Here is a 21062-nt window from a genome sequence, read left to right on the forward strand (position 1 = left end):
TAGTTTTGGAAGCACTTGGTTTTTCCATTCCCATGTCTTGGAGGACTCTTCCCCCTTCCTGAGAGAGAGCGATGAATGTAGGCCTCCATGGAGAAGCACAGGTGCCTTCCCTGGGCTGTGTGTGGTCCGTGCAGACCTCTCAGGTCCACTTCATTTTGCAGGTAAGGACCCATCTCCCATAGCTGGTTAGTGCCAGAGCCCACTCCTAGCCCCATGTAGGGGCTGTTTTTCAGCTACAGCAAGATCAGGAAATAAGAAGTAGTAATGAATACTTCATTGAAGATTTTTATTTACTTTGAGGTCTTTTATTTCTTGTAATACTGAATTGGTTATTTGCTTCTTAGAGTTTTTTTTTTTTTTTTTGAGACAGTCTAGCTCTGTCGCCCAGGCTGGAGTGCAGTGGTGCCATCTTGGCTCACTTCAAGCTCCGCCTCCCGGGTTCACGCCATTCTCCTACCTCAGCCTCCTGAGTAGCTGGGACTACAGACGCCCGCCACCACGCCCAGCTAATTTTTTGTATTCTTAGTAGAGACGGGGTTTCACCGTGTTCGCCAGGATGGTCTCGATCTCCTGACCTCGTGATCCACACGCCTCGGCCTCCCAAAGTGCTGGGATTCCAGTCGTGAGCCACTGCGCCTGGCCTAGAGTTTTTTGCTTTCCGTAAGATAACAATTTTCCTTATAGAACTGAAAAATATGAAAAACAATTTAAAAATTCACCTATGCTTAGCCTTAGTGCAGAGAGCAGCTGAAGGGTATCAGGGGATTGTCCTCACCCCTTCCTGTCCATGGCCCCCTGGGTAGCCCCCCCATCTTCATCAGCCCACCCCTTCCTGTCCATTGTCTTCTGCGTGGCCCCTCCCATCTTCATCAGCCCACCCCTTCTTGTCCATGGTCCTCTGGGTGGCTCCCCCATCTTCATCAGCCCACCCCTTCCTGTCCACGGTCCTCTGGGTAGCCCCCCTATCTTCATCAGCCCACCCCTTCCTGTCCACGATCCTCTGGGTGGCCCCCCCATCTTCATCAGCCCACCCCTTCCTGTCCACGGTCCTCTGGGTAGCCCCCCCATCTTCAGCCCACCCCTTCCTGTCCACGGTCCTCTGGGTGGCCCCACCATCTTCATCAGCCCACCCCTTCCTGTCCACGGTCCTCTGGGTAGCCCCCCATCTTCATCAGCCCACCCCTTCCTGTCCGCGGTCCTCTGGGTGGCCCCCCCATCTTCATCAGCCCACCCCTTCCTGTCCATTGTCCTCTGGGTGGCCCTCCCCCATCTTCATCAGCCCACCCCTTCCTGCCCATTGTCCTCTGGGTGGCACCCCCCATCTTCATCAGCCCACCCCTTCCTGTCCATGGCCCCCTGGATGGCCCCCCCATCTTCATCAGCCCACCCCTTCCTGTGCATTGTCCTCTGGGTGGCCCCTCCCATCTTCAACAGCCCACCCCTTCCTGTCCACGGTCCTCTGGGTAGCCCCCCCATCTTCATCAGCCCACCACTTCCTGTTTGTCCATGGCCCCCTGGATGGCCCCCCCATCTTCATCAGCCCACCACTTCCTGTTTGTCCATGGCCTCCTGGGTGGCCCCCCGATCTTCAGCCCACCCCTTCCCGTCCATGGTCTTCTGGGTGGCCCCTCCCTTCTTCATCAGCCCATCCTTCCTGTCCATTGTCCTCTGGGTGCCCCCCCCCATCTTCATCAGCCCACCCCTTCCTGTCCATTGTCCTCTGGGTGGCCCCTCCCATCTTCATCAGCCCACCCCTTCCTATCCATTGTCCTCTGGGTGGCCCCCCCATCTTCATCAGCCCACCCTTCCTGTCCATTGTGCTCTGGGTGGACCCCCCATCTTCATCAGCCCACCCCTTCCTGCCCATGGCCCTCTGGGTGGCCTCCCCATCTTCATCAGCCCACAGCACCTGGTGCTGCATTGTAGTCACTGTCACACACACTCTCTTCGCTTTGCCTCTGTGTCCTCCCAGTGTCCATGTGGTAGAACAAGATCACAGCATTGATGGAGACCACATAGCTGTGCAGACTAGTCTCGTCTAATTTCACAGCCAAGGGCTTGGATCCACCCTCACTTGCCTAGTCCCAGCAGCACCCCCTTGAAGAATTGCTTTTGCCTGAGTCCATTCTGTTCTGTCTGCTTCCCCTTCCTCAGATCTCTGATCTAATCAGATGTGAGTCTCAGCTGGCGTCTATGCCTCAGAGTTAAGGAGAAGAGAGTTGCTTCTCTGCCCCATCCTCCGACCCAAGGGGCTAAGTCGCGTTTCCTCCCTTGGCCTTTCCTGCCCCTCAAGTGCAAGGAGCCCTCGCTGTTAGCTCAGGACAAGCCCACCCTCTTGTTTCCTCAGGGACTTGCCCCGCTGTGTGGTCTGTGGTGCCATCTCTCTGCGTGCCCGCCTCACTGGCAGGTCACTTCTGTTAGCATCCGGGATGACTTAGTAGCTCCCATGTTAAAATTAAAAAAAATTATTCCCTTGATCCTTGATTTTCAGCCAGATTGGCAAATTGATTTCACAGTGACCTCTGCTTCCTCTTAAAAGCCCACTAAAATGACAGGCAAGATGTTTTTAAAGGGCAAAAGTCACCAAGAAATTGAGAAAGAAGATGACAGAACTTTGAAAGTTGGAAGGCAAATGGTCAGAGCAGATCTGAACCTAGAAAGCTGAGAGGTGCGTGTGTGTGTGCATGTGAGTGTGTGTGTGGTGTGTGTAGTGTGTGTGTGTGTGTGAAGTGTGTGTGCATGTGTATTTACCCACACAGGTCTGTGTGTACACATGCGTGTGTGTATGTGTGTGCAGGTGAGTGTGTATATAGGTGTGCACGCATGCGTGTGTGTGTGGAAGGTGTGTGCATGTGTGTGTGGTATGTGTGCATCTGTTATATGTGTGTGTGTTGAGGGGACTGAGAAGTGAGTTTCTTGTGTTGCAGACAGTGCCCCCACGTCTTGGGAATGGCGTTACTGTGCAGCTGAACATGGGGAGGCAGTAGAGATACGGTTGACATAGGAAAGCTGTGGAAAGCTTGTCTGAGAAGGAGTCAGCCTCTCAGCCCTCTCCTACCCAGTCTGGTTCCTCCCTGGAAGGTGACTTGGGAGCCTGCCCTGCGGTGGGGGACTGTCCTAAACGGAAAGCAGGGCACGGGATGGCTTCACTCCAGCTCCTCCTTATTTGGCCCCAGAGCACTGGGAACCTAGGAACAGACACAGGAGGGAGGGAAAGGAGCCACTTGGTGGGTGAGGAAGCTGGACGCTGGGGCCCTGGGGCGTGGCTCCAAGAAGGGCTGGAGGGTGATGTCGGGATGAGTGGGTCTGCAGTGGTCGGCCCCATGGCTAGGAGTTTGGAAAGAAATCAACCTAAGTTCATAGAACACCAAAGAAAGCAGTGGGGAGGCCCTTATTCACTGTGAGAAGCAGAAACATTGTGCAAGAAGGGAGCTGCAGCATCAGGTGTGGGTACCAGGTGCACAGCCAGCGAGGGGAGTCCTGGAAAGTGGGGAGGAGGGCGAGGTAGGGGCTCAGGAGAGTCAGTGCTCATCTTTTATAGCAGGAAGCTAACAGCTGATACATAAAGTTGTAAGATCAAGAATAGCAATACAAACTCAGTAATTAGAAATATGGAGATAAAGAAATGCCAAAAGAGGCTAAGAGCTCAGGGAAGGATTGTGATGTAGGGGGCAAGGGAGGGGTAGGGCCACTGCTTTTCATAAGCTTTATCGAATTATTTGCTTTTAAAAACTGTGTATATTTATAGTTTTATTAAAAATAAAAAATTTTAAAGGTTATATGGCAAATATTATTTTATAAAAAATTGATGAACCTCAGGCCCTGAGCTCCCTTGCTTGCCCTGCTCCTGCCAGGGCAGACTTCCACTGCCCTTGCCCTCTGGTCCTCTCCACTTCAGAGGCCCGGCCTCTGGCTTGGTGAATCTGAGGCAGATCTTTCTCCTCAGGTTGCTTGAGCTCTGCAGCGTTAGGCCTGGTGAGCGCCTCTTGCCCAGTGCCCTGGGGGCGGTGGGGAAATTCCAGTCCAGACTGTCTGCCTCAGGCATTCAGTACACACTTTCGTGCCCTGCTTTTTAACTGAATAGTATTCTGCAAAGTGTTCGACCTTACCTAGTTTGAGAACATTATTTTTAGAAGGTTGCATGGTTTCCCATGTTGTGGATCTAGGTATCATTTATTGGATTATTCCCTTTTTGTTTATTTTTTCTGATTTTCCACTAATATCCATAATACGAGGTAAACACCCTTGTGCATAAATCCACAGCAGCTTCCTCTCTTTTGTAGGCAGTGTTCACACCTACAGAATTCCTGGGTCAGAGGACATGGACATTTAAAAGAGGCATAATGTGTAATTGCCAGGTTGATCTCAAAAGTGCAAGTTTGTACTTGAACAAGGCTGTACCAGAGTGCCTGTGCTGTTGTATCCTGACACACCAGGTACTGCATACGTCTCCATCTCGAAATGCAGAAGCACACTGAACACACATGGCTTAGCTCTTTAACAATAATGTCGTTTTCCCCCATGCTCATAAGCATTCTTGCATTATTGAAGATACTCTGCTTTTATGTCTGTGGGAGGAATTTTCCCCAGTTGAGTCGTGCACTTTTTCATCTGATCTGTAGCATTTTGGGTAGCTCGCTCAGTATTTTCCGTTGTGATGTCGTCTCTTATTGTGTTTACATTTAGAAAATCCTTTTCTTGGGATTTAATTAGGTGTATGTTCTTAGGTGAAGATCTAAGTTATTTTTTCTTATATTAGAAACACCATTTATTCAAAATACTTCATTTTTCTAATGATTCATGCTGCAACTTTTTATGTATGTGTACCACATATGAAAATATTGTGTATTTTAGTGTCTGTTTCTGAATTCTCTAATTGACCTCTTTGTTCTAGTGCTGGTACACTGTTTTAATTATTTTAGTTTCACGATATATTTCCATATCTGATAAAGGTAACCAATATTTCAAAAAATATTTTGGTTATTCTTGGCTACCTACTTTCTAAATGAACTTTAGAATGATTTTCAAGTTTAAAAAGTTAATCATATTGAGGTTTCTTTTCAAATGGATCAGATCTATAATTTAAATTATAAACAGCTGACATTTTAACAATATTTAAATAGTTTCCTATATAGAAAGGGAATCTGTCTTTCCATTTATTCTGTTATTAGCCTTCAGTTACATTTCATAGCTTTCTTGCTGTAGGTTTTATCTTTCAAATTTTTTTCCAACTAATTTGTGTTATTTGGTTATTGTAATTGGGATTTTTCCCATTGCATTTATCAAATATTTAACATTATATAGGAAAACTATCAGTTTTTATATATTTGAATGTGGTCACATGTTAAAATGGTTTTATTTGCAAAAGGGTTTTCAGGTGAAATTTGACTTATTTTTACCTTGACCCAACATTCACCATGAAGTATGCTCCCTGTAGCTCTCTGGTATATATTCTTCATTAAGCTACAGAAGTTTTCTTTTATTGCTATTTATTAAGTTACGTGTTTTTTAAAATCAAAAAAGTTGCATTTCACTAAATGTGTTCATTGCTACTATTTAGGTGGTTGTATGATTCCTGCTTTTGTCTCTCAATGGAGTGAATTCTGTTCCTGACATTCCAAGTGTTGATTCTTGGAATAAACCCCGTTAGGCCATAGCTCTTCCAATTATAATATGCTCCCAGTATCTTATTGGGACTAGAATAAGGGTTAATAATAGGGTTAGGGCTAGAGTTAAGGCTAGCATAAGGGTTGGAGTTACCGTTAGTGTTCGAGTTATTGTAAAGGTTAGGATTAGGGTTACTGTTAGGGTTATCGTGAGGGTTATGGCTAGGGTGATAGTGCTCTATAAGGTTCTTTTTTTTCTAATTTTTATATGATTTTGGCAATAAATGATAGCTTGCTTTCATAACATGATTTGAGAATTGTCCCATGTTTTTCTATCCTTTAAATAACAAATTTTTCTGTCTTCTGTTTAGAAATGCAAATGTTATCAGCCTTCGATAGAATTCTACCTTTAATAGAATTCGTCTATCAAAGCTGCTAAGCCTGGAGCCTATTTTGGAGACTGATTTTTTAGTGTCTATATAATTTCTACCATGGTTATTGATTTTATACACATTTTCTTATACACCAATGGTTTTTTGCTTAGGAAACAGTCAGTTTTAAGCAAGTTTTTAGGTATATAGGTAAAAATGTGTATATGTTTTATATATATATATACATATGTATGTATATAACATATATATGTTGTGCTCGTCATTTTTCAGTCTTTAAAAATTTTTAACTTAATTTAATTTTTCTTTTTATTATTTTTTTAGAGACAGAGCCACACTCTGTTGGATGTTGATCCCAGCTCACCGCAGCCTTGAACTCCTGGGCTCAAGCGATCCTTCCACCTCAGTCTCCCACGTAGCTGGGACTACAGGCATGTGCCAACGCATCCAGCTAATTTTTAAAATTTTTTTAGGCACTGGGGTCTTGCTTAGATGCTCAGGCTAGTCTCAAACTCCTTGGCCTCAAGTGATCTTCCTGCCACGTCCTCTCAAAGTGCTAGGATTACAGGTGTAGGCCACCATGCCGGGCCTAGTTTTTCAGTCATTTTATCTGTTACTGTGTTCCCTTTATTTCTAGTACTTACTTCAGCATTTTAGTCACATTTGTCTAATTTTTTCTCCAAAATAGCTTTCATTTATATTGATCATTTATAATTTTACTATTAATTTCTCATTTTAGCATACATTATAATTATAATTCTCTTTTTCTTCAAGTTAATGCTATTATTTTAATAGTTTCCTGAGTGCTTCTTTGAACATTTTCATTTATTTTCTGACTAATGCATTTGACTCTCAGTCTTCTAAGACACTTTTAACTCTGTTCTACTGGCTTTATATGTACTGACCTGTTGTCCCTCATGTTTTTATTATTTAATTTAAAAGATTAATTTCTTGGTAGTCCTGTCTAGGAGGACTATTCTTTTGTTGTTAAGTTTCTACTTTTTAAGTATCATGTTTGCCCTGTGTGGGTCAGAGAGGGACTGGGCCCTTTGTGACTGTGGGTGTTTTGTAGGAGATGGCTGTGGGGCTTGGGGATGGAAGAGTGGCACCCACTGTAGGCATGTCACAGGCTGTCACGGAGCAGCAGGGTACAGTGTGAGCAGTGGAGAAGGTGCCCAGAGGGACCCCATGGGGTTGTATGCTGCCTGTGGTCCTGGGAGATGGAGTGATCGCTCTGGAAGAAAAACATTCTGGAGTTTGTGGGGAGCAGACAGACTTCTGTGTGAGACCCATAGGAGACATGCCATGGAGGCTTTTGGAATCCTGGCTCACAGCTGAGGGGACGGTGTGGGGCATACAGAGAGCCACGTGCCAAGAGGAAGAGTTGAACCCAGGGGAAAGGGTAAGCTGTGGAAATACAGAGCTTCCCAGACCCACCAGCTTTATTTAATAAGGTCAGATGCTCTCGTTGACATCAGCGTTCCTGGATGGGAGGGCTGGGCTCTGTGAGGCCCTCCCCGGCCTGGACTCTGGGTGGCCTGCCATTCTCGATGTGTGGTTTCTGTCTCTTGCTATGTTGTCATGACTGCAGAGTTGGAAGGAACCCAGATGCACCTCGTGTGTTCTAGCCTGTGGATGCAACAGGGGACAACTTCATTTTAAGAACTGGAGGCCCAAGTTATGCTGACGTGTATCATGGTATCTGAGACCAGGTGTGTCTAACATGTGCCAGGTGACCCTCTCTGCAGAGGAGCTGGGCAATGCATTCTCCCGCTGGGCAGCCTTGGGCTCAGCCAAAGCTCTGTCTTCACGGAGAAAGGGAGGAAGGGACAGGGGAAGAGCTTCTGCCTCCATAGGCGAGGATGAGGACATAGGAGGCACTGAATAGTGGCCAGGAGAGGAGTGAGTGAGGACCTGGGGGTCACCCACACTTCAGAGTGAGGCGCACTTGCAAGAGTGTTGGCATCGTGTGAAGGCAGACAGCGCCACACGGTGTTGTGTCAGCATCGCTGTGTCAGTCCATTGACGTAGCGCCACACGGTGTTGTGTCAGCATCGCTGTGTCAGTCCATTGACGTAGCGCACACGGTGTTGTGTCAGCATCGCTGTCAGTCCATTGACGTAGCACACACGGTGTTGTGTCAGCATCGCCGTGTCAGTCCACTGACGTAGCGCACACGGTGTTGTCAGCATCGCTGTGTCAGTCCACTGACGTAGCGCACACGGTGTTGTGTCAGCATCGCTGTCAGTCCATTGACGTAGCGCCACACGGTGTTGTCAGCATCACCGTGTCAGTCCATTGACGTAGCGCACACGGTGTTGTCAGCATCGCCGTGTCAGTCCATTGACGTAGCGCACACGGTGTTGTCAGCATCGCCGTGTCAGTCCATTGACGTAGCGCACACGGTGTTGTCAGCATCGCCGTGTCAGTCCATTGACGTAGCGCACACGGTGTTGTCAGCATCGCCGTGTCAGTCCATTGACGTAGCGCACACGGTGGTGTCAGCATCGCCGTGTCAGTCCATTGACGTAGCGCACACGGTGGTGTCAGCATCGCCGTGTCAGTCCATTGACGTAGCGCACACGGTGGTGTCAGCATCGCCGTGTCAGTCCATTGACGTAGCGCACACGGTGGTGTCAGCATCGCCGTGTCAGTCCATTGACGTAGCGCACACGGTGGTGTCAGCATCGCCGTGTCAGTCCATTGACGTAGCGCACACGGTGGTGTCAGCATCGCCGTGTCAGTCCACTGACGTAGCGCCACATGGTGGTGTCAGCATCGCCGTGTCAGTCCACTGACGTAGCGCACACGGTGTTGTGTCAGCATCGCCGTGTCAGTCCACTGACGTAGCGCACACGGTGTTGTGTCAGCATCGCCGTGTCAGTCCACTGACGTAGCGCACACGGTGTTGTGTCAGCATCGCCGTGTCAGTCCACTGACGTAGCGCACACGGTGTTGTGTCAGCATCGCCGTGTCAGTCCACTGACGTAGCGCACACGGTGTTGTGTCAGCATCGCCGTGTCAGTCCATTGACGTAGCGCACACGGTGTTGTCAGCATCGCTGTGTCAGTCCATTGACGTAGCGCACACGGTGTTGTCAGCATCGCTGTGTCAGTCCATTTTCATACTGTTATGAAGAGATACCCGAGACTGGGTAATTTATAAAGAAAAAGAGGTTTAGGGGACTCAGTTCCACATGGCTGGGGAGGCCTCACAATCATGGCCAAAGACAAAGGAGGATCAAAGGTGCATCTTACATGGTGGCAGGCAAGAGAGCATGTGCGAGGGAACTGCCTTTTTATAAAACCATCAGTCTGGTGAGATTTATTCACTACCATGAGAACATGAGAAAAACCCACCCCCATGATTCAATTACCTCCCACTGGGTACCTCCCACGACACGTGGGGATTATGGGAGCTACAATTCAAAATGAGATTTGGGTGCAGACACAGGCAAGCCATATCAATTGCAAAGCCCACCGGGCATCCTTGTTCTGAGAGGAGCACCAGGCCGCGGGGTGAGCTCTGGGCCTGCTGAGCCTCCTGGACTCTGGCCAGCACAAGCCCTAACATCCATAGGTGCTGCTGCAGTGACAGTGGGGCGGTTCCAGCCCCTCCCAGCCAAGACCCAGGGCCTGCGGGGATGGGCAGCACTATTTCACTGTGGAAATGCGGGCCCCAGAACCAGGAGGGCCAGGGAAGACCTGGAGGTCTTGGCCGGCTGGGGCAGGGCGTTTTCACATGCTCTCAGTCACAGAGGCTGCGGTCTTGCCCTTACCCCGCTCCTCGCCAGCCAGCAGAAGCTCTGCAGCCTCATCGAATCTCAGGTTCTTTATTTGGAAATGGTGCAGCACACCTCTCGAGGGAGGACAGACTGCCATGGGCCCAGCGGAGGTCTCATGGCACTGGTGTCCTTCTTTCCTCCCTCCTCTGAGTTTTCTCCTTGGCTAGGTAGCGTTCCTTCTGGACCTTCTCTGCTTTGCTTTTTTCCCTCTCACCGGGATTTGGAGAGTGCTGCCCTCCCGGAGGTTGAGATCAGATTGCAGCCTGGCACGGAGGGATGATCATTTTTCGTGATGACTCATCCCTCCTCCGTGCCGTGCTGCCAGGCTGTCTGGCGGCCCTGCGTGCAGAGACAGTGATAGATCTGGAGAGCTGTTGCTGCTGGTCCGTGGTGACTGGGGATGGCATGTCAGGTGGAGAAGAATTTCCTCTGTGTGCGCATTTAGACAGGTGGGAGTCAGCATTTCTGTGTGCTTTTATTTTACAAATGCACCATCCATTCATTGGAGATGCAGTCTATCTACTCTTGCTCGTCAGCGTGCATGGTGAGCTGCGTCCATCCCAGTCTCCTGCTCCACCCAGGCCTCTGTCGTCTTCCTCTGGATCTGCAGGGACACTTGACAGCTTACTTCATTCTGTGTAGGGTTCATGCCTTTGCGCCATAGGCCCTGTGTGAATGGTGTCACAGAGGCCACCCTGTCTTTGGCGATGAAGGGCAGTCAGTGATAGACTCCGGGAGCACTGAGCTAGGCTGAGGCTTTTGGTGTGGGTGTGAGCTTTGCTCCAAGTGCTCTGGCCATTTTGCTCTTCTGAGGTACAGGCTGACAGCCCTGCAGCTTTGTTCACCCTGGTAGTGAGTAAATGGGTTTGACTTTACCCACCTGTTTCCCAGCCTCTGCCCTTGCAGCAAACCCAAGATAGGACTCCTCTGAACACGGCTGCATCCACATGTACCTTCTTTGCTGAGCTTGTGCCTCTGGCCACATCCAGCAGGGCTGGTTGCAGTTGGGGGCAGGTGTTAGGAGCACAGCGGTGAGCTGTTGTCATCGTTCCCTTGTGTTAAGCTGGCAGAGTCTGAGCACAAGTCACGGGAAGAGAAGTGTCCGGTAGGAACCCAGCTGGGCTGGTGGAGCAGGACTAGCTGAGAATCCAGAGACTGTGTTCTGCTTCCTGCTTCTCTCCCAGATCACCACGTGACCTCGGCTAGGTTCCTTCCCTCTCTGTGCTGCTTTTCCATCTGTGAGACTGGGTCTCCTGACCTGTTCCTGCCCTGACCCTTGGGGGAAGGTTGCTTCAGCTTTTACAAAGAGGGCAAGAACCACCAGTGTCTTTCTAGGAACAAACATATGACCTATGAGAAGATGGTTTCCATAATCATTATTATGTTCCCTGCAAAAGTTCCTCACTTAATTCCTGTAATTCTCCAAGGTCTTTGATTAACCCTTTTTATCAGTAAAGAAACAGAGACTAAAGATGAGCCAGCATTGGAGCAGAATCCAGCCCATAGTTGCCCGTTTTCAGAACCTTCTCTCCTTCACTTTATTGCTATTAGATTGTAAGAAGTTCAGATCTCAAGTACTCATGGTCAAATTACCATCCAGAGTCACGGATGTTTTACACGTTCACCAGCATTTCATGAGAGTGTCTGTGTGAGCGCCCTTCAGTCACACTGCGTCTTTTCTTTGTTCCAGCTTCAGAAGGGAGGAAAACACAGAAGACGAGGGCTGAAAGATGGCATTGGACTTGGCACAGGGATGGTCAGGAGGTCCTGAGTCACTTTGAGAAGGTACAAAGGAAGCCAGATTGAGCCAGCTTGAAGAGTCAGGGAGAGGGAGGGGTGGAGATGGCTGTGGAAAATGTTTGACTCTGAAAACTTGGGGTCTAGAAGGGAGGTGTTTGGGTTGCATCTTTAGTATGAGCTACTTGGTTATATTTAAAGCCTGAAAATGAGTTAGTAGAGAAACTTTGAAAATTAAGAGACAGAGAGCACGTGGATGCTGCTAGACATTGGTCCCTGAGGAGTCAAGAGGGTGATTCAGAGGATGGAGAGGTGCTGTTTCCTGGGAATGGGGGTGTCCTCTCATCACCACAGCACCATTGTCAGCTTACAAAACCCGTCTAGATGCTGCACCCCAGTATTTCCAGTCCCCCCAGTAATGTCTTTTATATTATTTTCCCTCCAGCACAGGATGTGGTCTGGGATCAGGTGTTGCATCTGCTTGTTGTGTGTCTGTCATCTCTGTCAATCAGGAACATTTTCCACAGCCTTTCTGTCACTTTCATGACATTGATGTTTTGAAGAACAGTCTCTTTTAATAAGTAGATGTTTCCCCCTTTGGGGCGTGTCCAGGGACTCCTGTGATAGGATTCACTCGGGCACTCTTGGCTGGCGCCTGCCTGCGTGGGATTGTGCTTCCTCAGGGCCTCACCTCGCCAGGTGCGGAGCAACGCTCTGCCCCCACGTTGGGATGTGAGGTTGCCGACTCAGTGCAGAGCTGTTTGGCTTCTCCCGACTTTGGTTACCACTCACGACTAATAAACCATCTGCAAGAAGCCCCTGGAAGACCATGCGGAAATCCTGCATCTTGTGACGTTTCCCCAGGACTTAGCCGTGGTTGGTTTCTGCCTTGACCCGTCTTTACTGTGATGGCTGTAAGTGGTGCTTGTGCAGCTCCCATGCAGACTTGGCCACCTGCTGGGAGCAGACCCCCCCCCCCCCCCCTTCTTCCTGGACTCCTGTGTCTTCATTCACCGCTGTCCTAGTGTCTAATTCATCACTGTCCTCGAGGATTTTGTGCTCAAATTCTCCTAGATTTGATCAGTGGGAGCCCACCAGGCCAATTCCCAGCTCCTTCCCTCTTTCGTTCCCACCTCCTTCCCTCTTTCGTTCCCCACCTTCCTTTCTCTTCCTGCTACCCTCTGCCTCATTTAAAGAAACAGTTTCCTAACTTTTCCATATAATGTTTCACACCCATCTTGTACCTAACCTACCCAGCCCTGGAGTCCACCAGATGTTTGAAGGGCTCTAGTTTTTGTAGTGTGAAAATGTTACCAAGGAACAATATCTGGGTACAAGGTAGGCTTATTGCTGTCGAGTGTCTTTGCTTCTAACCCTGTTAGGGGTCAGAGCTGGGAAATACGTGCATGTACACATACACACCTCTGTGTAAGCATACATACATGTAAGTGTGTGTGTGTGTGTGTGTGTATATATATATATGCACATATACATGCATATATGTGCGTGTATAAAACAGACAAGTCCCACAATGTCCTTTCTCTTCCTGTTATCCCCACCCCTTGTACATGACAGTGATGTTCTAAGGTGGTCTCTCACCAGCTCCTGGAGCCACTTCTGCACATCTCTTCCCAGCTCTGTGTTTAGTGACATCATGCGGTAGGTTGGAAGTCGCCCACGGTGGGAGGGTTTGCACATGGAAGGAAACTGGCAAACACTACAGGCCGGGTCCTCCCTCCCACCTCAGGAGCTGTTTGTTAAACGTTTGCTGGCATACCTCTAGGCAAACACATTTTTACAATTAGCCTTCCATATGTATGTTTTCTGTTTCTCTTCTTTTTTCTTTCTCACCTAAAATATACTAATGTATCTTGCTACATATGTTCTCTTTTTACTATTTTTATTGTAAACATATATAACATTACATTTGCTATTTAAGCTGTTTTTAAGCGTATAATTCAGTGGCATTTATTACATTCACAGTGCCGTGCCACCATCTACATCTCCCTTTTTGTACTTTGTGTTTTCTATTAAACAGCATCCCTGGAGTCGCTCTGTACCAGGGTGGAGTGATCGTCCTCATTCTTCCTTTTGCTTCCTCTGCTGCCCAGTGCTGCGTCCTCGTCTGGGTTTCATGATGGTGGGATGATGACGTAGTTTACGATATTTTGCAGTTACACCCAGTGCAGTGGTGAATAGCCTTGTGCACTTGTGTTTGTGTGTGACTGTATCTCCCGGAAAGGCCTTAGCGGGGTGATTGCTGGGTTCAGTGGCAGTGCTCAGTGCTCCTCCTTCAGTTAGACAGTTGCAAATCACCTTCAAGGGGTGGCCACCGCCCTCCATGACCACCACAGCCACACCATGGGGTCTGTTCTTCAGCTCATGACTTTTTGCTAAAGTGATGCCTGAACAGCGTAGCTCAGCGTGGTTTTAATTTGCATTTCTCTTCTTGTGAGTGAAGTAGAGCACCTTTTCATATGTTTAAGGACATTTTTTATGTCTCTTTTCATGTATTTTGTACATTTTTCTATAGGGTTTTTGGTCTTTTTTGTCCCCTCAATTTAAACATTTATTTATTTATTGGTATCTTAGAGATATTATTTCTTTTCCTGTGGAATATGCTGCAAATATTTTCTTCCATTTAGTATTTCTGTCATATTTTCTCATGTCATTTTGCTATGCCAAAGATTTTTTATTTTTATAGTCAAATTTATCTTTTATCTAGATTTTTAATTCACAATTAGAAAGCCTTTTTCTACACCCAGATTAAAGAGGAAATTACTCATGTTTTATTCTAGTACTTGTGTAGTTTAATTTTTTATTAGTTTATTTTAATGAATTTTTCAATTGTTGATTTTTTTCTATGGGATGTTTATTTTTCTATTTCATTAATCTAAGTTTTTATTTCTTCCTTTTTTTTCCAGTTTATGTTTCTGTTCTTTTTCAAATTTATATTGGATGTTTGCTCATTGATATTCAGCTTTTTAAAAATATAGATCAGCGTTTAAAGTTGTACATTTCCCTCAAAGTACAGCTTGTTGCAGTGCATAGATTTAGATATATAGTACTTTTATTATCCTTAACTTATAAATGTTGTCTTGTTTCTACTGTGACTCCTTTTTTGGCTTATGAGTTATTTAGAAGTATTTCTCAATTCCAAATACACAGAGCTTTAAAAATCATGTAAAAATATACATTTATATTTATATATACATAATTTTAAGTATTTTAGTTTCTAAGTTCACTGCATTGTGGACCAGGTGATCTCTGTGTTTGCAGTCAAAGGGCGGCTCACACATGGTCAAGTATTATAAATGTCCTGTGTATCTGACAATGGAATCTATTCTACAATTTTGAGTATACGCTTTCTGTATATGGCCATTAAGTGAAGCTTAATAATCTTGTCTTTTCTGTCCTCATAGATATTTTTATCTGTGGCATCCTCCTGTAGTCTCAGCATTTTGGGAGGCTGAAGATGAGAGGGTTGCTTGAGGCCAGGAGTTCAAGACAAACCTAGGCAACATAGCAACCCTGTCTCTCCAAAAAAAAAAAAAAAAAAAAAAATTAGCTGAGCATGGTGGTGTGCACCTGTAGTCCTAGCTACTCAAGAGGATCCTTGAGCCCAGGAGGTTGAGGCTGTAGTGAATTATGATTGTACCACTGCATGACAGCCTGGGTGACAGAGCAAGACCCCGTCTCCAAAAAAAAAAAAAAAAAAAAAAAAAAAAAGATGTTTCTCCAACTGATACATCAGTCACTATGACAGTTGTGTTCAAATATGCTGGTATGATTGGATTAATAGATTTGCCTATTTTCTTATATTTCTGTTCATTTCTGCTCTTAGGTCTACGTAAGTTTAGAATTATTATGGTATCTTGCTAATAAATTGAACCTTTTAATCTTTATGTAATGTAGTCTATCCTGATAATGCTTTTTGCTTTAAAGCAAATTTTGTCTGATGTATTTATCTAGTATATATTTTTCTTTCCCCTTTTTCAGTATCTCTGTATCCGAGTGTTTTAGTGAATCTTTTAAAATGGGATGTAATGGATTTTTGTTTTATCCTCCCTGACAATCTTTGCCTTTTAAAGACTAGAACATTTACTTTACTTTCATTTATTTTAATTACTTATAATTTGGACTCCATTCTACCATCTTATTTTGGACTTTCTATTTAGCTCAACTTTCTTATTTTTTCTTCCTTCCCTTCTTTTGATTGACAGATGACTGTTTTACTCATTAGTTTTCTCCTTCACTATGTAATTTCGGTTTCTCTTATTTTTGTGTTTGTCTTATATGTATGCTTAATTTATCAAGGTCCAGAATTAATTAGTACTCTGTCCACATTCCAGAGAATGAAGGAGTCTCACAGTGCTCACCTCTGATTATTCTCTCCTGACTTGAATGGCATTTTCATTCTCAACTGTTGTATTTTTAATATTGTGCAGCTTTCTCCATCATTTTATACACTGGTGCCTGTTTAGATTTACTCATATCTCACCACATTCATTACTATTTGTTTCCACTTTTACCACAGATAATGCCTCTTCTAAAATGCATCGTGGTGAGAATGTGGGTAAAAAACTATTTTTAACTGAAACTTTCTACCTTCTTTTTTTCAAAACCTGTATTTTATTTTTAATTTTTAATAGGTAAAATGTATTTTACTTATTAGGTCATTCTGAAATTGTTTTACCCAAGACTGCTTTCCAAAATTAAATTTTAATGGAAAAATATTGGCATGTGGCATAGAAAAAGCTCGGACTACAAGTTTAGGAGTAGTGATGAGTCTTTGTTCAACCTGTATATAATATTATAATGAAAATAGTTATGATAAGAATAGTTCAAGTACCCAGTAAAAAAATTAATGCTGAAAAAACAAGAAAACTTTTAAATTATGTCCTGGAAATCTAAGGTATTGACGTATTTGTTGTATCTTTGCCAGTACAGTTTTTTTGATTTTGGTGATTAATCTCAGCGTCTCGTTTCTTTTGCTTCGGTTGTTTAAATTAGGCCTGCTAACCTACCCAAATCTGCTGGTGTGTCTATTTGTGACTACCAGAAATTATCTCAGGTTTTCAGCAGCATTTAAAAAATATTCCCTGTTGATATAGCTAGAAAACAGCTAGAAAATATTCGTGAGTTTTAAATTTAGCATGACACCTTGTATCTTCTCACAGCCACATAAAGACTTAAATGCTAATTGCCTGTGTATCCCACATTAGAGTTTAGTAGAGAGGTTGAAAATCTAGTAACAGAGAAGCTAATACTAGCTCCTGCTCCTCTGGGTTGAAATTCTGGGTAGAAGATTATTTTCTTAGAGCATGGAAGAGATTTTATTCTACTGTCTTTGGCTTCCATTGCTATTGAGAAGCCATCTTTCAATTTAAATAATACTCAGTTCAAGGAATTTCTATTAAAATTTTGGTTACTTTTAAGATTTTCCCTATGTCTTTGGTGTTTTACAATTTTACTATGATGTATTTAGGTGTAGATTTCTTGTATTTATCTTGCTTGGGATTGTTCTTGGTATCTTTTTTAACATCAAGTATATTGAGATATAATTTATATAGTATAAAATTCACCCTTTTAAGGATACAGTTTTATGAGTTTCAACAAATTTATGCAGATATTAGCTATCAACACAATCATATTATAAATAGAATATTTTCACCAGCTCAAAGTTCCCTCATGACCCTTCTGAAGCCCCTGACAATCGCTGATCTGTTTAACTGCAGCTCTGCCTTTCTCAGAATGTGGAATCATGCAGCATGTGACATTTTGACTCTGCTTTATCCCTTGCCCATGATACTTCTGAGATGCATTCATATTGTTGCTGAATAATTTTTGATAAATATGCCACAATTTGTACATCCATTCACCTATTGATAGAAATTTGGAGATTTACAGTTTTAGAGATTATGAATAAATCTGCTATAAACTTTCTTGTACCGGTCTTTATGTGGATGTATGTTTTCATTTTTCATAGGTAAATACCTAGGAGTGGGCTTTTCTAGATCACATGGTAAGTGTGTGTTTAATTTTGTAAGAAACTCCCAAGGAACGCATTGTCCCAAGTTGCTGCACCAGTCAGTGTACATTCCCACAAACAGTGCATGAGAGTTCCTGTTGCTTGTGAAATAAATGGTCAGCATTCAGTGTTGTCAGCTTTTAAAATTTTCTCCTTTCTAGTGGGCATGTAATGGTGTCACATTATAGTTTTAATTTGCATTTTCCTGGTGACATGTGATACGGAACCTTCCTCCCATGCTTGTTTCCCATCTGTATGTCTTCTTTGGCAAAGTGTCTGTTCATACATTTTGCCCATTAAAATTAAAACATTTTATATTGTTTGTTTTCTTATTGTTGATTTGTGAGGGTTTGTTATATGCTATGAATACCAGTCATTTATCAGATATGTATTTTTCAAATGTTTTCTCCTAAAGTATGCCTTGAATTTTTATTTTCTTAATGTCTTTAAAGAAACGGAATTGTTTAATCTCGGTAAAGTAAAATTTGTCATTTTTTGTCTTTTATGGTTGTATTTCCTGTGTCCTAAGAATTCTGCACATTCCCAAGGTCACAAAGATTATCTCCTGTTTTCTCCTAGAAATTATATAGTTTTAGGTCTTTAAATTAGGTCTCTGATCTATTCCCCATCCCCCATCCATTTTGAGCCACTTTAAGAATATATAGTGCAAGATTAGAGTTGAGGTTCACTTTCCCCCAGGGATGTACATTTCTTTGAGCATTGTTTGTTCAGAGATCTGTTATCTTCTTCACTGGTCATCTTTGCTCTTTCACCAGACAGCGATCTGTGCTGGCATCTGTCTGGACTCTGTATTCCAGTCCACTGCACTCCATTCCTGTCTTCTCACTGGCACCAAAGTGTTCTGTTTACTGTAGCTTTATAATAAGTCTTGAAATCAGGTACAATGAGTCCTCTAATGTAGGTCTTTTTCAAAATTGTTTTTCCTATGAAGTCCTTTGCTTTGATTCTAAAATACAAATTTTAGAATCAGCTGTCAATTTCTACAAAAAAAGACCACTGAGATTTTGATTGAGATAGTGTTGGATCTGCAGAACAATTTGGGGAGAATATGCATGTTTTTAAAACTTTTATTTCCATTTTATCTTGTTTGTATTAAGATATAATTCACACACCATAGACTTCAGTGGTTTTTAGTATATTCGCTAGCGTGTACAGCCATTATCACTATCACCACCCGTAAAACAACCCCAGGAGCAGTCACTCCCCACTCCTTCTTCCTCCTTTCTGTTCCTATGGATTTGCCTACTCTGAAGTTTTGTATTAATGGAATCATACAACATGTGGCTTTTGGTGTCTGATTTCTTTCACTCAGCATATTTTCAAAGTTTATGCATGTTATGGTATGTATTAGTACTTTATTCCTTTTTATGGCTGAATAATATTCCATTGTATGGATGGACCACATTTTGTTTATCCATTATAGTTGACGGGTATTTAGTTCGTTTACACTTTTTGGGTATTTAGTTTGTTTACACTTTTTGGCTATTATGAATAATGCTTCTACAAACATTCCTGTACAAGTTTTTTATATGGACATATATTTTAACTTAGCTTGAGTTTATATGTAGAAGTAGAAGTGTAGTGTCATATCTTAACTCTGTGTTTACCTTTTTGAGAAGATGCCAAGTGGTTTTTCACAGATGCTGTACCATTCGACATTCCCACCCACATGTGTGAGCGTTCCGGTTTCCACACATCCTTGTCAACACCCATCTTCTATTTCTTTATGGTACAGCTATCCAAGTAGGCCTGAAGTAGTATCGTGCTGTGGTATTGATTAGCATTTCCCAAGTCACTAGTGATGTGGAACATCTTTTCTTGTGCTTATTGGCCATTTGTATATCTTCTTTGGAAAAATGTCTATTCAAGTTTTTTGCCTACTTTTAAATTGTTTGTTCTTTATTGTTGAGTTGTAGGTTTTTTAAATATATATATTCTGGATACTAGACACTTTCAGAGATAAGATTGCTATCAGTTTTCTTTCATTTAGTAGGTTGTCTTTTCATTTTCTTGGTAGTACCTTTTGACAAACAAAAGTTTTTAATTTCAGTGAAGTTCACTTTACCTGTTTTTTCTTTGGTTGTGTGCAGTTAAGTCATAGCTAAGAAACTACTGGCTAATCCGAGGTTATGGAGATGTACACTGGTGTTTTCCTCTAAGAAGTTTGTAGTCTTAGCTCTTACATTTAGGTCTTTGGCCCATTTTCAATTAATTTTTGTCTGTGGTGTGAAGTAGGGGTCCAGAGTCATTCTTTTGCATGGGGATATTCAGTTGTCACAGCACTCCATATTTAAAAAGATGATTATTTTCCTATGGAATGGTCTTAGTATTCTAGTCAGAAATCATTTCACCATAGATGGGAGGGTTTATTTCTGGATTCTCAATTCTAACCCATTGGTCTATATATATTCTTTTTTTTTTTTTTGAGACAGAGTCTCACTCTGTAGCCCAAGCTGAGGTACAGTGGTGCGATCTCGGCTCACTGCAACCTCCACCTCCAGGGCTCAGCTGATTCTTGTGCCTCTCAGCCTCCCGAGTAGCTGGGATTACAGGCGTGCACCACCATGCCCAGCTAATTTTTTGTATTTTAGTAGAGACGGGGTTTCACCATGTTGCCCAGGGTGGTCTCGAACTCGTGAGCTCAGGCAATCTGCCCGCCTTGGCCTCCCAAAGTGGCGTGAGCCACCGTGCCTGGCCAGTCTATGTATATTCTTAAGTCAGTACTATGTTTTGGATCCTGGAGATTTATAGGTTTTGAAATTGACAAGGGTGAGTCTTCTTAGTTCTTCTTTTCCGAAATTTTGACTATTTTTTTTTGTCATTGTTGCATTCCATGTGAATTTTAGGATCAGCTTGCCATTTCAATAAATAATGGCAGATCTGACAGTGATTGCCTTGAATCTGTAGATACATTTGGGGAGTATTGCCATGACAACAATATGAAGTCTTTCAGTCAGGAACATGAGATGGCTTTGTGTTTATTTAGCCCCTCTGTGATTTCTTTCAACATGTTTGATAGTTTTCACAGTGCAAGTCTTGCATTTTTGTTAAACTTATTCTAAGTATTTTTTGCTTTTCCATGCTATTATAAATGTAATTGTTTTCTTAATTTTATTTTGGGTTTTTCTTGGCTAGTGTATATAATAAATATAACTCATTTTTATATATTGATCTCGTATCTTGCAATCTTACTAAACTTGTTTTGTAGCTCTAATTATTTTTTTACAGTTTCTAACCCACAGGCTCTTTATTTCTTTTACTTCTCTTAGGGTACTTACTGGGATCCCCAGTGGGATGTTGATTAGAGATGGTGAGAAGGGACATCTTTGTCTTGTTTCTGCTCTTGGGGGAAGCATCTGGTTTCTCACCTTAAGTATGATGATAGCTTTTTATCAGGTTAAGGAATTTGCTGAAAATTTTTATCATGAATGCTAGTTGAATTTTGTCACATATTTTATCTACATCAATTAAAATAATGTATGGTTTTTCATTTT

The 21062-nt window shown here is 43.6% G+C and overlaps 1 protein-coding gene across 19 annotated transcripts in view; it reads left to right on the plus strand.

Moving 5' to 3' along the window:
* The window catches only part of PCBP3 (poly(rC) binding protein 3), a 298726-nt gene that overhangs the window by 94187 nt on the left and 183477 nt on the right, over positions 1–21062 (plus strand). For 12 of the 19 annotated variants that reach the window (NR_145492.2, NR_189734.1, NM_001382284.1 and 9 more), the window contains 1 exon segment: positions 17506–17541. The exons of 5 other annotated variants lie outside the window; for them this stretch is intronic. The gene's annotated coding sequence lies outside the window, so the exon portion shown is untranslated. 19 annotated transcript variants of the gene reach the window in all.

Source organism: Homo sapiens, chromosome 21, assembly GCF_000001405.40.
Source record: "Homo sapiens chromosome 21, GRCh38.p14 Primary Assembly".
Lineage (NCBI taxonomy): Eukaryota > Metazoa > Chordata > Mammalia > Primates > Hominidae > Homo > Homo sapiens.